Source organism: Homo sapiens, chromosome 8 (genome assembly GCF_000001405.40).
Source record: "Homo sapiens chromosome 8, GRCh38.p14 Primary Assembly".
Classification (NCBI taxonomy): Eukaryota; Metazoa; Chordata; class Mammalia; order Primates; family Hominidae; genus Homo; species Homo sapiens.
This window is the reverse complement of record NC_000008.11, coordinates 69,747,192-69,760,697: the sequence shown is the minus strand read 5'-3', so window position 1 is coordinate 69,760,697 and position 13,506 is coordinate 69,747,192. Positions and strand designations below refer to the sequence as shown.

The 13,506-nt window shown below is 40.2% G+C and overlaps 1 protein-coding gene across 3 annotated transcripts in view; it reads left to right on the top strand.

Moving 5' to 3' along the window:
• SLCO5A1 (solute carrier organic anion transporter family member 5A1) overlaps positions 1-13,506 on the top strand; it is a 167,933-nt gene that overhangs the window by 74,281 nt on the left and 80,146 nt on the right. For all 3 annotated transcript variants that reach the window (NM_030958.3, NM_001146008.2, NM_001146009.1), the window contains one exon: positions 5,057-5,274. In NM_030958.3, the coding sequence (NP_112220.2) occupies positions 5,057-5,274 (218 nt within the window). The remainder of the gene's footprint in view (positions 1-5,056; positions 5,275-13,506) is intronic.

Here is a 13,506-nt window from a genome sequence, read left to right as displayed (position 1 = left end):
ATTGGTGTCCTGAATTCATTTCATGTGGATTAGCAATATATATACATTGATAAGGCATTTTCACTTTATAGTTAAGAGAATACTTCAGTATTAGAAAAGATATGTGCCAAGTAATTACTCACTCACTTTTTTTTGGAACATAGACACACATGGAGAAAGTAATTACTTTCTAAAAAATGTCTTAGAGTACTTTATTCTCTCTGTGTTTCATTACATGATAATAACATCATAACTCCGAGGTTGGTAGGAATAATGTTTAACACTATTGATTTTCAAAGCAGCTAACAGATATTAATTGTTATACACACTTCCTATTTTCATAAGTAATGCTCTTTGAAGCTGGAAGTGTTATGTCTGGTAGAATTTTTAAATCATACAGAAAGGAGTTCCCCTGTCAGCATTAGGGAAATAACACAGGAGTTTTAAGTTCTTGACTCATAGTGAAATTTTTGGTCTTGTCTGTTTTCTTTCCAGTTCTGAAATTAATCAGAGTAGAGATGTTTTTCATTGTCAGAAAACCAGATTAATTAACTCTATTTATGAACATCCAGCATATGTTCTGTGTTCTATTTAGAGGTCCTTAAGGAGGGCACAGTGACAGGGAAACATCTGGAGGGAAAGATGGGGAGAACCAACTCAGGTAGGGAGAAGGAGGGAAGGCAGGAGCTTTAGTCTTACCAGTGCTTTATGCCATCTTTTGAACTGTTTTTAGGAGATGTTAGTCCAGTTGGCAGCAAAATTGAGAGATGAGGGCCGGGTAAGGTGGCTCATGCCTGTAATCCCAACTTTGGGAGGCTGAGGCAGGTGGATCACTTGAAGGTCAGGAGTTCGAGATAACCCTGGCTAACGTGGCGAGCCTCCATCTCTACTAAAAATACAAAAAAATTAGCCGAGTGTGGTGGCGCATGCCTGTAGTCCCAGCTACTTGAGAGGCTGAGGCAGGAGAATCACTTGAACCTGGCAGGTGGAGGTTGCAGTGAGCTGAGTTGGCACCATTGCACTCCAGCCTGAGTGACAGAGCGAGACTCTATCTCAAAATAAATAAATAAATAAATAAAATTGAGAGATGAAGAGTATAGACCCTGAATCCATATTCCCCTGGGTTTAAACCCTAGTCTGCCACCTAATACCTATGTGAGCTTGGGGAAGTTACTCTGTGCCTCAGTTTTTATAATCCATAAAAGAAGGTAGTTATGGTACTTATTATCATAGGGTCATTGTGAGGAATGAATGAGTTTACATGTCTAGCACTCTAAGTTGTTCCTGCTGTACAGTATGTGTTAGCTATTCAGTCCTTTGAATTTAATCAGTGCTCAAGTAATTTTATCCATTTTTAATGGCTCAATGTTAGTTCTATACATGATAAAGATTGTCAATATAGAAATATATAATGAGGGTCTATTTAAACATGAATTTGAATTTTATTGAGTAACTGCTTGTAACACACTTCTACCTTGAACAAAGACATAGTTATTTGATGCAATGTTATTTTATACGATGTCTAGCAGCAGTGATAAGTTTTCAATGGGCACATGCTGAAAGGGAGAAGGAAGGAAGGAAGGAATGAATAATGCTAAAATGTATTGGGTGCTTATTTTGTGTCAAGCATTATACTAAGCTCTACAGACATTCTCATTTAAGCCTTGGAACTACCTTGGAACAACCATAGGTAGTCACTGGTATGTGCATTTTGCAGCTGAGGAAATTGATGCTCAGGGAGTTCAATAATTTTCCATTAGCCTCAGAGTCAGTGAGAGCTGGGAAAAGAAACTGACTCCGGAGCACAGCTCTCAGTTCACTCTCTTAACTGGCCCCCTTAGTGAATGGTCTCTGAGTCATGGTTCATGAAAGGGATTTAGGTAGCTTGGCTTTTCAAGTGTAGCTGTTATTGATGTGTCTTTTTCCAACAGGTACTGCACACTTTCTTGTCTCAGCTTTTCTCAGAGTCCTCTTTAGCATCATTATTATATGATGTGTTGTATCGATGTTATTTGAGACTGTTGAATAATGTGAGTTGGTTTGCTCTGCTTTGAAGTGACCCCACACTTTAATATTATTTTTGTATTTTTTTGTTTATTTGCTGTATTTCTCCCCTTCCTGTTATGCACCTTCACTTTGGGCTATTATGAGTAAATTTTTAATGTTTGCATATAATCTTAAGTTAATGGCTGGGGCTGGGATGGGCAGGGAGGTTGAGTGCAATGCTATGTAAAAAGCATGCCGGGTGCGGTGGCTCACGCTTATAATCCCAGCACTTTGGGAAGCTGAGGCGGGCAGATCACTTGAGCCCAGGAGTTCAAGACCAACCTGGGCAACATAGTGAGACCCCCCACTTCTCTACAAAACAGTAAAAAATTAGCCACTGCGCCTGTAGTCCCAGCTATTTGGTAGGCTGAGGTGGGAGGATCACTTGAGCTCGGGAGGTCAAGGCTGCAGTTAGCCATGATCGTGCCACTGCACTCCAGCCTGGGTGACAGAGTGAGGCACTGTCTCTAAAGAAAAAAATCAAGATAAATAAATAATTAATTAAAAAGCAAACCAGACACACAAAACTAGCTATCATGAACTGATTGTTAATTTGGGGACAGATGTTTTATGACATCCATCATAACACTGTCTTATTTAATTTTGATGATCCCCAAACATACTTAATACCCCACTTGTAGATAAGAAGGCTGATTTGGAAAAGCAAAATAATTTTCACAGGATCCTATAGTAAGCAAGTGGTAAAGACAGGATACAAACCCAGGTCTGCCTGAAGCCACAGCCCATGAGTTGTCCCCTACACTACACTGCCTGCCGTCTTCTGGAGAGAGTGTGAGAGCTCAGGGAGCTGCAGGGATTCAGGGGACTGGAATGGAGAGTTCGTGGAGAGAGGCTCCAGAGGCAAGTGAGCAGTGCCTGATAGTGCCTGATGGGTAAGGACCTCGTAAGCAGCCAAGTACTAAGAGGGCCAGGCATTATCATAGCTATGTTCTCTATAGACAGATGACCTTTTTAGTTATTTTTATTTTTTTTGAGACAGAGTTTCACTCTTGTTGCCCAAGCTAGAGTGCAGTGGCAAGGTCTCAGCTCACTGCAACCTCTGCCTCCTGGGTTCAAGCCATTCTCCTGCCTCAGCCTCCCGAGTAGCTGGGATTACAGGCACTTGCCACCATGCCTGGCTAATTTTTGTATTTTTAGTTGAGATGGGGTTTCACTATGTTGGGCAGGCTGGTCTTAAACTCCTGACCTCAGGTGATCCACCCATCTCGGTGCTGGGATTACACCTCAGGTGATCCACCCAAAGTGCTGGGATTACAGGCATGAGCCACCGTAACCAGCTGACATTTTTAAAATTAAAACTGTCTCTTTCAATTTATTTATTCAGCATGTTTTTTTGAGTACCTAATCTGTGTCAGGCACTGGGCTGGTGATTACATTCTGAATAACTGAGATTGCTGGAAGTCTGCCCCGAACAAACTTCTCAAAATAAAGCCCTTTACTGACTATCTTAAAATCTTCATTTGATGTAACTTTAAATATCTTTGAAAATAGCACACTAAATTATTAATGACTAATTGTAGGAATCATTCTCTCAACTGTGACCTTTAGCAGCTGATAACAGCACTTTAATAGAAACATTATTTTAAAAAATGAATTTTCACTTTGCAATGGATCTATAGTCTTACCTGATTGAATTCAGCGTTAATACTTATGATGCTGCTTGCATTCTGGTTACAGTTGATGGGAATGTGTTGAGCATTTATGAACTTGGAAGCTTGAATGGCAGAGTTTGGAGGTGAGGAATCATAGTTAGAACGTGGCTACCCTGTTAGGGAGTGCCAGGGACCTCTGATTGCTAAGGAAATGTTGAAAGGGAACTGAGAAATTGCCCCACGGGGCATCATGCAGTCAAGAAGCCCAGGGCTCTAATACTACAATTTCATTCTACTCCCTGTGTTTGCTTCCTAGTGCTCTGCAACGTGGCAATCTCAGGTGAATTTCACGACAGAATTCTGAGTCTAATAGCTCCTGTTCTACTTCTTTTAGGAAGCTTTCCGATACACATTAATTTCCCCTCTCTGAATTTTGGTAGCACTCATAATCTGTACCATATAACCTAATATTTAATTATATACATTTTGCATTTCTTAGAGGTTTCTTATATTTTTGGCTTGCTTATGAACAGGTTGTAGGTTCTTGAAGGCAAGGACTAAGTTTAAATGTCTTTGTTGGTAACCCTCATACTTGGTGAAGTATTGTGAAGGCCAGCTAAGTGGGAGGCAATACATTCTCTTTTTATTTTTTTTAAGTTTTGCTCTGTCACCCAGGCTGGAGTGTGGAGTGCAGTGGCCTGATCTCTGCTCACTGCAACATCCGCCTCCCAAGTTCAAGTGATTCTCCTGCCTCAGCCTCCCGAGTAGCTGGGATTACAGGTGCCCACCACCACACCTGGCTAATTTTTGTATTTCTAGTAGAGACAGGGTTTCACCATGTTGGCCAGGCTGGTCTCAAACTCCTGTTTCAGCCTCCCAACGTGCTGGGATTATAGGTGTGAGTCACCGCGCCCAGCTGGGTCAATACATTCTTAAGTGTTTGCAGAAAAATATTTGAATATTCTCAATAATTTAAAACATATTTCACATGGGATATTAATGCTTTTCTTATGACAAAAAAAAGTCTATATTGGTCCACATAACATGCTATTGTCTACATTATTTTTCTATTGAATTTATAATTTAGGGATTTATCATAAAATACACATTGTAGAAGGTTAGCAATGCTAGCAGAACTAACTCATTGGTGCTCAAAAATACTTGAATGAAATTCGAATCAGGTTGCTGATTATAATATTCAGTATAACACTGGTATAATTATTGAGTAGATTTCTCATTTATATCACAGAAAGAGAGAATTCCTTCATTTTCTTAGTTTGCTCAACTTCCTACTGCTTTACAGTTGATTACAAAAAGTTTTCTTCAAAATTTTTTCACCACAAACTTCTGCTTTACTAATTTGTTCTCACTCACAAAAGAAAAGACGTAAATGCTATTCACATTTTCCAATTTTTTAGGTGGAGTGGATTCCTCCTTTGTGCCATTGCAATGTTTCTTGTGATATTCCCAATGTTTACTTTCCCAAAAAAGCTTCCACCTCGACACAAGAAAAAGAAAAAGAAAAAATTTTCTGTTGATGCTGTTAGTGATGACGATGTTCTGAAGGAGAAATCAAACAACAGTGAACAAGCGGACAAAAAAGTTTCTTCGATGGGATTTGGAAAGGATGTCAGAGGTAAAGTATACCTCTTGAATAAATACATGCATGGCACTTTGATCAGTGCTACTCATAGTGTGGTCCCAGGCCCATGCTGTCTACCCACTGTCTGTGGCCAGATAAGTACTAAGATTGAGAGTAAGTGTTGCAAAACTCTTAGAAACTTGACAGAGTAATTTTTTTGCCTGTTGCATCTAAGAATAATTTAAAAATTAAGGTTATATTTTGTATGTTATTTAAAAATTAATTTTTAAATAATTCATCATTTGTGTATTTTGCAAAAGTATTAGTAGATGACAGACTAGAAATAATAATTTAAAAAAATGGTTTTTCCTCACACACAGTTTGAGAAGCACTGATTTAGATCATAAAGAAACAGATGTCTATATATGTTATTTACTATAATTAGAGATGTCTGATTTTTAAAATATTAAAAATCAAGTGCATTGTGCCATGGAGGGTTTATTTCAGGGGAATAGTGGCTTTGGCAGTGTGGTTTGATGCCTACATAAGTATAATACCTACCACTAGAAAGGGATCTCACTTAGCAGCTCTGTCAAATGCTTGCATGTGGCCCCAGAGAAGGGTGGCCAGGGGATGGACCTCCAAATGCAGTGTAAAAGCATCCAGAAGGTCTTGGTGATATATGGTTTATTTTTTTTCATTTTTATTTCTCTTAAAAATACTGATTATATTAAACTAGATTAGGCAATCTATAACCTAAACAATTTGAAGTGATCATGACCAGACAATATTTGTTCAGTATTTCATATATCTGTTGAATGACAATAAGTCCCTTTAATTCCAGAAACCTATAATGTGACACTCCCATTAGTTTTAGTTTTGTTTCCAACATTCTCTGAATTGATTTTTTTGATATAAATTATGAAGCATAATATTTATCAAGTACTTTCATCAGTCAAGGTTGTGTTAGGTAAAATTTACCTAGGCACATTATCATCTCGTTTTGACTGTGTACACAGTGTGGCCAAAGAGGAACATTTCCAGCCTGGAATAAAGTTACTCATATGTTACAGACATGTCGCTATGGCCTAAGAACAATAATAGTTAGATTGGACCATTTTTAAAGACTGTAATTTTTGAAAGCAAATGAAGTGCTATTTCATTGAAAATGCCTCTTTCCAGTTACATTTTAGATGTGGCCCTCTCCCTTCCCATGATTTTGTGACAGTGTGCACTTTTGGAACTGTACATGACTTCTTATGCTCTAATAACATAAAGCATTCTCTGGATGCTGGCATGGCCTGATCTCTTCCCATGTGCACCAGCCCAACATTTTTGTGAACCTATTGTAGACCATTATGGCTACTATCAAAAGAGTGATTTTTTTTCACAACTCAATTGAGATAAGGTTGATGTCAAAGAATTTAAAACATAGCAATAATCTTTGATTCTTTTTTTTTTTTTTTTTTTTTTGAGATAGGTCACCCAGGCTGGAGTGCAGTGGTGTGATCTCCACTTACTGCAATCTCTGCCTCCCAGGTTCAAGCAATTCTCCTGCCTCAGCCTCCCGAACAGCTGGCATTACAGGCGCCCGCCCACGGCCAGCTAATTTTTGTATTTTTTTTTTTTAGCAGAGATGGTATTCCACCATGTTGGCCAGGCTGGTCTCGAGCTCCTGACCTCAGGTGATCCACCCTCCTCGGCCTCTCAAAGTGCTGGGATTACAGGCGTGAGCCACCATGCCTGGCCAGCCTTTGAGTCTTCATTTATGGAGACTATAAAGTAGACTCAAAGGGAGAAATAAAGTCATATGTAAGATAAAATTATATGTTTTATAGCTTAGGGTTAGGTGACTTGAATATGAAATATATGATCTATTGGACAGTAGAAAAAAGCGGGGAGAAGATTGATATCAAATACCAACAGCAGATACAACTGTTGCTGAGAATGAAGTTCTTTTGGAAGATGCAGTGTAGACAATGCTATCAATGCCCTGTCCACATTTTTGGACCCTACTGTTTTCATGGCAGAGGTCCACCAACTGCCAGGACTGAAATCATTTACCTGAAGGTTTTTCTTTGTGGGCTGAGAAAACTGCTTGGCTCCTGCTTGAGGCGGTTTTCAGGTACCAAGGAATGAACCCCCTGGCCTCCCATGCCCCAGAGAAGTCTTAACCAGATGACTGGATGAACACCGCAGCTCCTGCCCCTCTTGGGGTAGGCAATTCTGAGGTGTGTTTCTGTGTCTTTCGTGGGCTCTCCTCCCTTCCAGTGCACTTCGACCACACTCTCCACCCAGTGTTCCCTGAGTTGCCCCAATAAATTACTTAGATGCGAACTCTTGTCTCAGGGCCTTCTCCTGGGGAACCCATACTTAGATATGCAAGTTCAAAAGCGATCAGGGCCATTGAGAATTCAAAAATGATTTTTGGAAATTGAATGTATACACTATTTTATGGGATAACTTCTTGTACTGCCAGGGGTTGCTTTTCTCTGTCTTCTCTATGCTCAGTTTGATGGTTCAAGATATTTTCTTTTAAAAACGAGAATAAGAGGAGTCCTTGAATGGTGATGGGTAGTTGGTTTATAAAATCTGTTTATGTTCTGATTTTCTTGTTAGTATTTTTGATAAAGTCTCCTTTTTTTACCCTATGCCTTGATTATCATGACTGATCCTACTTCTGCAGCCAAACCTCCTGACTGGGACACACAGCTGATTCATTTTATTATTTCCACTTGTACTGGATTCTCTAATCATATCAAGACTGGAACTTCAAGAGACACATTATCTTGTTAGAAAGAAATACTGTTTTAATTGAATTACACTGAAAATGTTTTTGCTAAAAATGCCATTGATGATATAAAATGATGTTCAATTAGAATATTTAAAATTAATTCATTTTTATCTTGTATACATTGATTTCCTTTAGTGTATCTAATACATATCACCTGAAGAAAGTGACTCATATTTAATATAATTTTCCAAAGGACAAATTAAATCTCCAGGAATCATTCTGCTATTGACATCACTTTTTTTTTTTTAACAAAGCTGAGATTTATTATTGAGGTTACTTTTTAACAAAGCTGAGATTTATTATTGAGGTCTTGCCTTAAAAAATGATTCATAGAAAAGTCCATTTTGAGTTAAATCTGAGTTTGAGTCCCAGATCCTTTTTTCCCTTCTATTTTCTGGAGTAGGGCTTCTTTTGGTCTTAATTTTTAAAATTTTTATTCTATTTTAGTTTATTGAGACAGAGTCTCTCTCTGTCACCCAGGCTGGAGTGCAGTGGTGTGATCTTGGCTCGCTGCAGCCTCAACCTCCCAGGCTCAAGTGATCCTTCCTGGCTCAGCTCCCCAGTAGCTGGGGCTACAGGCCTGTGCCACCACACCTAGGTAATTTTTGCATCTTTTGTACAGATGGGGTTTTACCATGTTTCACAGGCTGATCTAGAACTCCTGGACCCAAGGGATCTGCCTGCCTCAGCCTCCCAACGTGCTGGGATTACAGGTGTGAGCCACCACGCTTGGCTTTTTGGTCTTTACTTTATATTTGAAATTTGGATACCAATATTAGTACCTTCAAAGAGGAGGTAGAAGTTGGTAACTTATACTTCCTTAAACAGAAAACTATTGGCCAGGTGCAGTGGCTTATGCCTGTAATCCCAGAACTTTAGGAGGCCAAGGTGGGCGGATTACCTGAGGTCAGGAGTTCGAGACCAACCTGGCCAACATGGCAAAACCGAGTCTCTACTTAAAATAAAAAAATTAGATGGGCGTTGTGGTGAGCACCTGTAATCCCAGCTACTTTGGAGGCTGAGACAGGAGAATCGCTTGAACCGGGAGGTGGAGGTTGCAGTGAGCCAAGATTGTGCCACTGCACTCAAGCCTGAGTGACAGAGGCAAGACTGCGTCTCACGAAAAAAAAAAAAAAGAAAATTATTTGAGCCATACAGAATGGCGCCCTTTTGGGAAGTTCTATTGTAGAGAATGATAGAAGAAAATATACTCCACCTCCACATTTTAATGACAGACATTGAGAAAATCTGACTCAGTGTTTTCATACTCTTATTATAAATTATGCAGGAATAACACTGATTTAAGACACCGCAAAGGGGAAAGTAGAATTCTCAGTATATCTGCATTACATTCCACAAAGAAATTAGCATTGATTCCATCAAAAATCTTACCAATAAAAATAAACACTTAAAATATTTAAGTGAATCCATTTTCCTGAGGTTTGAGGTCCAGCATTTTAAAGCATTCCAAATTTAACTGGGCAGCCTTCTATCTAAAAAACTTTTGGTGGCAGTTAATCATAAGAATGATTTTACTTTCTATGTCCACTTTTTAATCTTTGAAGCTTAATTGCTTAGTATTATTTATTAAGCATAAAATGTAACAGAGATTTCTCTGCTAGGATTTTGTCTGTTAGAGTGCAATATATTTAAAATCCTAACTAAATAAAATAGTTACCCTGAGGTGATAAACTGATTTAAAGAGGCTACTGAAAGTTGGAGAATTTTGCTCATGGAAGGATAATGTTGGCATCATTGAATTCACTGAATGTTCACTCTATAGAGGGTGCTGTACTCCATGCTTTAGTTATACAGTTGAGTGAGCCATGGTTTACCCTCCAAGAGCTTAGAGTCCACTGAGGGAGCCAGGACAAATACAGATGGAAATGTATTAAAGGCCATAAGAAGAGAACAGGTGCAAAGCTGTGGAGGTTCAAGGCTGCAGAAGGAGCATCCAGTTGAGGGATCAGGAAAAGTTATATGGAGGAGGTGGCATTTGAGATGAACCTTGAAAGACTGGGAGGATTTCAGTAGGTGGAGGCGGGTGTCAGGAATGTTCAGGCAGAGAGAGCAAAGGCCAGAAAACTGGGACTGTGTAGATGTATTTGAATGTGCTGAACAAGCGTTTTGTGGTTGGTCTGTTGGACATATGTGGCAGAGGCCTGGGAGATGAGGTTGGGAAGGTCAAGCAGGGCACATGGTGGAGAGCGTGAGTTCTAGTGTGAGTTCTTCGATTTCTTTTCTAACGGGGAATGGGGAGGTTTGAGTCGGTGTTTGGTAGCACTCAAAGAGGTAGATTAGGGAGGAGGAGGAGCAGATTGTCAGGAAGGGGCACAGGTAGACAGCTGCAGACAGAGCCCAGTGGAGAGGTTTCGACTAGTAGAGAAGGAAAGGACAGCAGCCTGCTAAACTGGCCCTGCTGCATCGACCCTTGCCCCCTTTCTACCTGCCTTCCCTTCAGCAGCCAGAAATGTTAAAATGCCAATCCTTTGCTCAAAGCTCTGTGGTCTCCCAGCTCATTCATAGAAAAGTCCACTCCTTTATGACCTATGATTTAACCCCTGGTTACCTCTTCGACTTTATCTCCTTTCAGTCCCACTTGTTTATTGTGTGTTCTGCTTCAGCCCCACTGGGCTCATTGTTGGTCCTCAAACGTGCCAGAGAGTCTCACCCCAGGACTTTTACACTTGCCACGCTTGTGCTGGGAATGTTCTCTCACTTCCCTCAGTGCACTTCTCACGTGGCCCCTTATCAGTGAGCCCTTCCTTAGCCACCCTGTTAAAAATCTCTGACCTCTCCTTCAAGGCTTCTTACCTCCATCCTGCCTTTAGTGTTCTCCTTAGCACCCATCACTCACTCACCTACCATGGATTTTACTTACTTATTTATTGTCTCCCCAATGAGAAAGTAAGCTCCATGAAGACAGGAATGTTTTTTTTTTTTTGTCCATTACATTTCCTGCTAAGTTTACACCACCTAGTAGGTACATAGTAAATATTTGATGAATGAATTATTGAATGAGAAAAAGAGGTCATTTCTTTTTCTTTTTCTTTTTTTTTTGAGACTGTCTTGCTTTGTCTCACTCTGTCTTGCTCTGGAGTGCAGTGGCGTGATCTCTGCTCACTGCAACCTCCGCCTCCAAGGCTCAAGTGATTCTCCTGCCTCAGCCTCCTGAGTAGTTGGGATTACAGGCACCCACCCCCACACCTGGCTAATTTTTGTATTTTTAGTAAAGATGGGGTTTCACCATGTTGGCCAGGCTGGTCTTGAACTCCTGACCTCAGATGATCCATTGCCTCGGCCTCCCAAAATGTTGGGATTACAGGTGTGAGCCACTGCGCCCGGTGAAACAGGTCATTTCTTTAGGGTGTGACAACTGATATGGGAATGATGGAGAGAGATACCAGAGGTGATTATAGGGTTTGAACCTCAGATAATGGGGAGAGGAACTAGTTGAGAGAAGCAGAAGGAATAGATTCTGAACTTGAGCTGCCTAAGAACACCCAGAACCATTGCATATGCTCCTTTGCTAGGTGTTTTGGAACAAGTATAGTATGAATGTGTCCAGGTCAGTTTTTGACGCAGCAAAGAGGGATCACTAAAAGCTACATGCCTGGGCCCTGTGCTCTTAGTCTTCTTGCATACTGCCTTTGCTAAATAGCACTTTAATTTTGTGTTTGCAGTTTTATTGAAAGCTGCTGCTTGAATTCCCCATACTTGCCATAGGATGGTTGCTCAGTGCCCTTTATATAAAACCCCTTTCTTTGGATCATTGGTTCTCAAACCCAGCCTACAACAGCATCACCACAAAGGCTCCCTAAAACCCAGGTCTTTAGGCCCCAGTCCACAGTCTCCGATTCAGTAGGTCTGGAGTGCGGCCTGAGAATGAGCATTTTTTAACAATTTCCCAGATGATACTGAAGCTGTTGGTCCAGGAACTGCACTGTGAAAACCACAGCTCCAGAACATAGTTAGGAAAAACTTTGTTTTCCAGGAAGAAAGTAGAATGTTTCTGTGTTTCTGATAATGATGATTATATAGCTTTTTGCTTTGATGGCCAGGAAAGTCAGAGTCAAATCTAAAACCCAGGAAAAGTCTTATGGCCACATTTAATTCTTTCTCCCGGTTTGGATGCTCTGCTCTATTTATGTTTTCTGTGTATCGAATTATTTGTTTCTTTCCTGTCTATTATTTTATTGTATGTATGATTTCTGGTAGTAAGCCACATCTTTAGATTTGGACTTGCAGCTTAGGAGGTGAAAGGTAAATGGTAACAGTCCAGGCAGAGAAACCCTGAAAAAGAAAGCTCTTTCTCTATACTCAGCAAAATAACTGTGGGGTGACTCATCAAAGTAGCATCTCCTTAGAAAGATATGTGAACATACTCATGAGTGCTGATTTAAACAAGCAAGGTAGTACTGTGGCCAGGAGCCACTAATGATGTATTTTAGGCCCTGGCAGCCATGTGTACCCCCTTGTCGTAGGCAAGTGTCTCAGGCTCAATGTGCTAAGCTGCCAGGTGACTGTGGCGTGCTAGTGTCATCTAGCTCCTGTCTTTTCCAGGCAAGCAGCAAATGCCATTTGCTGGTGTGTTTTGGAGGGGAGGGAGGACTTAGAGTACCTTCATGGGGCCTTATGATTGGGAAACCCGTGGGATCATTTCTTTCAAAGAAAATGAGCAGGAAATGAGGGCACATAGGTCCTGTGTTGGCCATGTTGCATATGATAAGCAGTCTTGGTTTTGCTTTTACAGAAAACCCTGACTAAAAATAGTTTGATTCTTCTGGATAACAGCATGGAAAAGTTGTATCTGCCAAATGCTCAAGAACATACAGGATCATGCAAGATTCACAGGCCATAGAAGTTACTAAGGTTTTCACTGCAGGACGATCATATTTTTTCACCAGCTTTTTGACGCACCAGAAGGCTTTAAAGAATAAAAATGACAGGAACTGCAAGATTAGAGATAATGGAACATTTAAATACAGTCATCCCTTGGTATCCACGGGGGATGGGTTCCAGAACTCCTTGGTGGATACCAAAATCCACGATGCTCAAGTCTCTGATATAAAAATGGTGCAGTATTTGCATATAAGCTACGCACATCCTCTGGTATACTTTAAATCATCTCTTGTTACTTATAATACCTAATACAATGTTAATGCTATGTAAATAGTTGTTATATGGTCTTGATTAGGGAATAAGGATAATAAAAAAGTCTGATGTGTTCAATACAGATGCACCCATTCATTTTTTTTTTCTGAGTATTTTCAATCTGTGGTTGGTTGAATCCATGGATGCAGAATCCATGGATGCAGAATCCATGGATATAGAGGACCAACTGCACTTTAAGTACTCATAAAAGAAGAGGATCAAGAAGTTTCATGAGATGTTAAAGGCTGTTCAATAATTTGCACCCATGGGATTTTAACTTATAGAGATGTCTGAGTGATGATATGACGAGGTTAATACCGCTGGTAGAATAAATTACT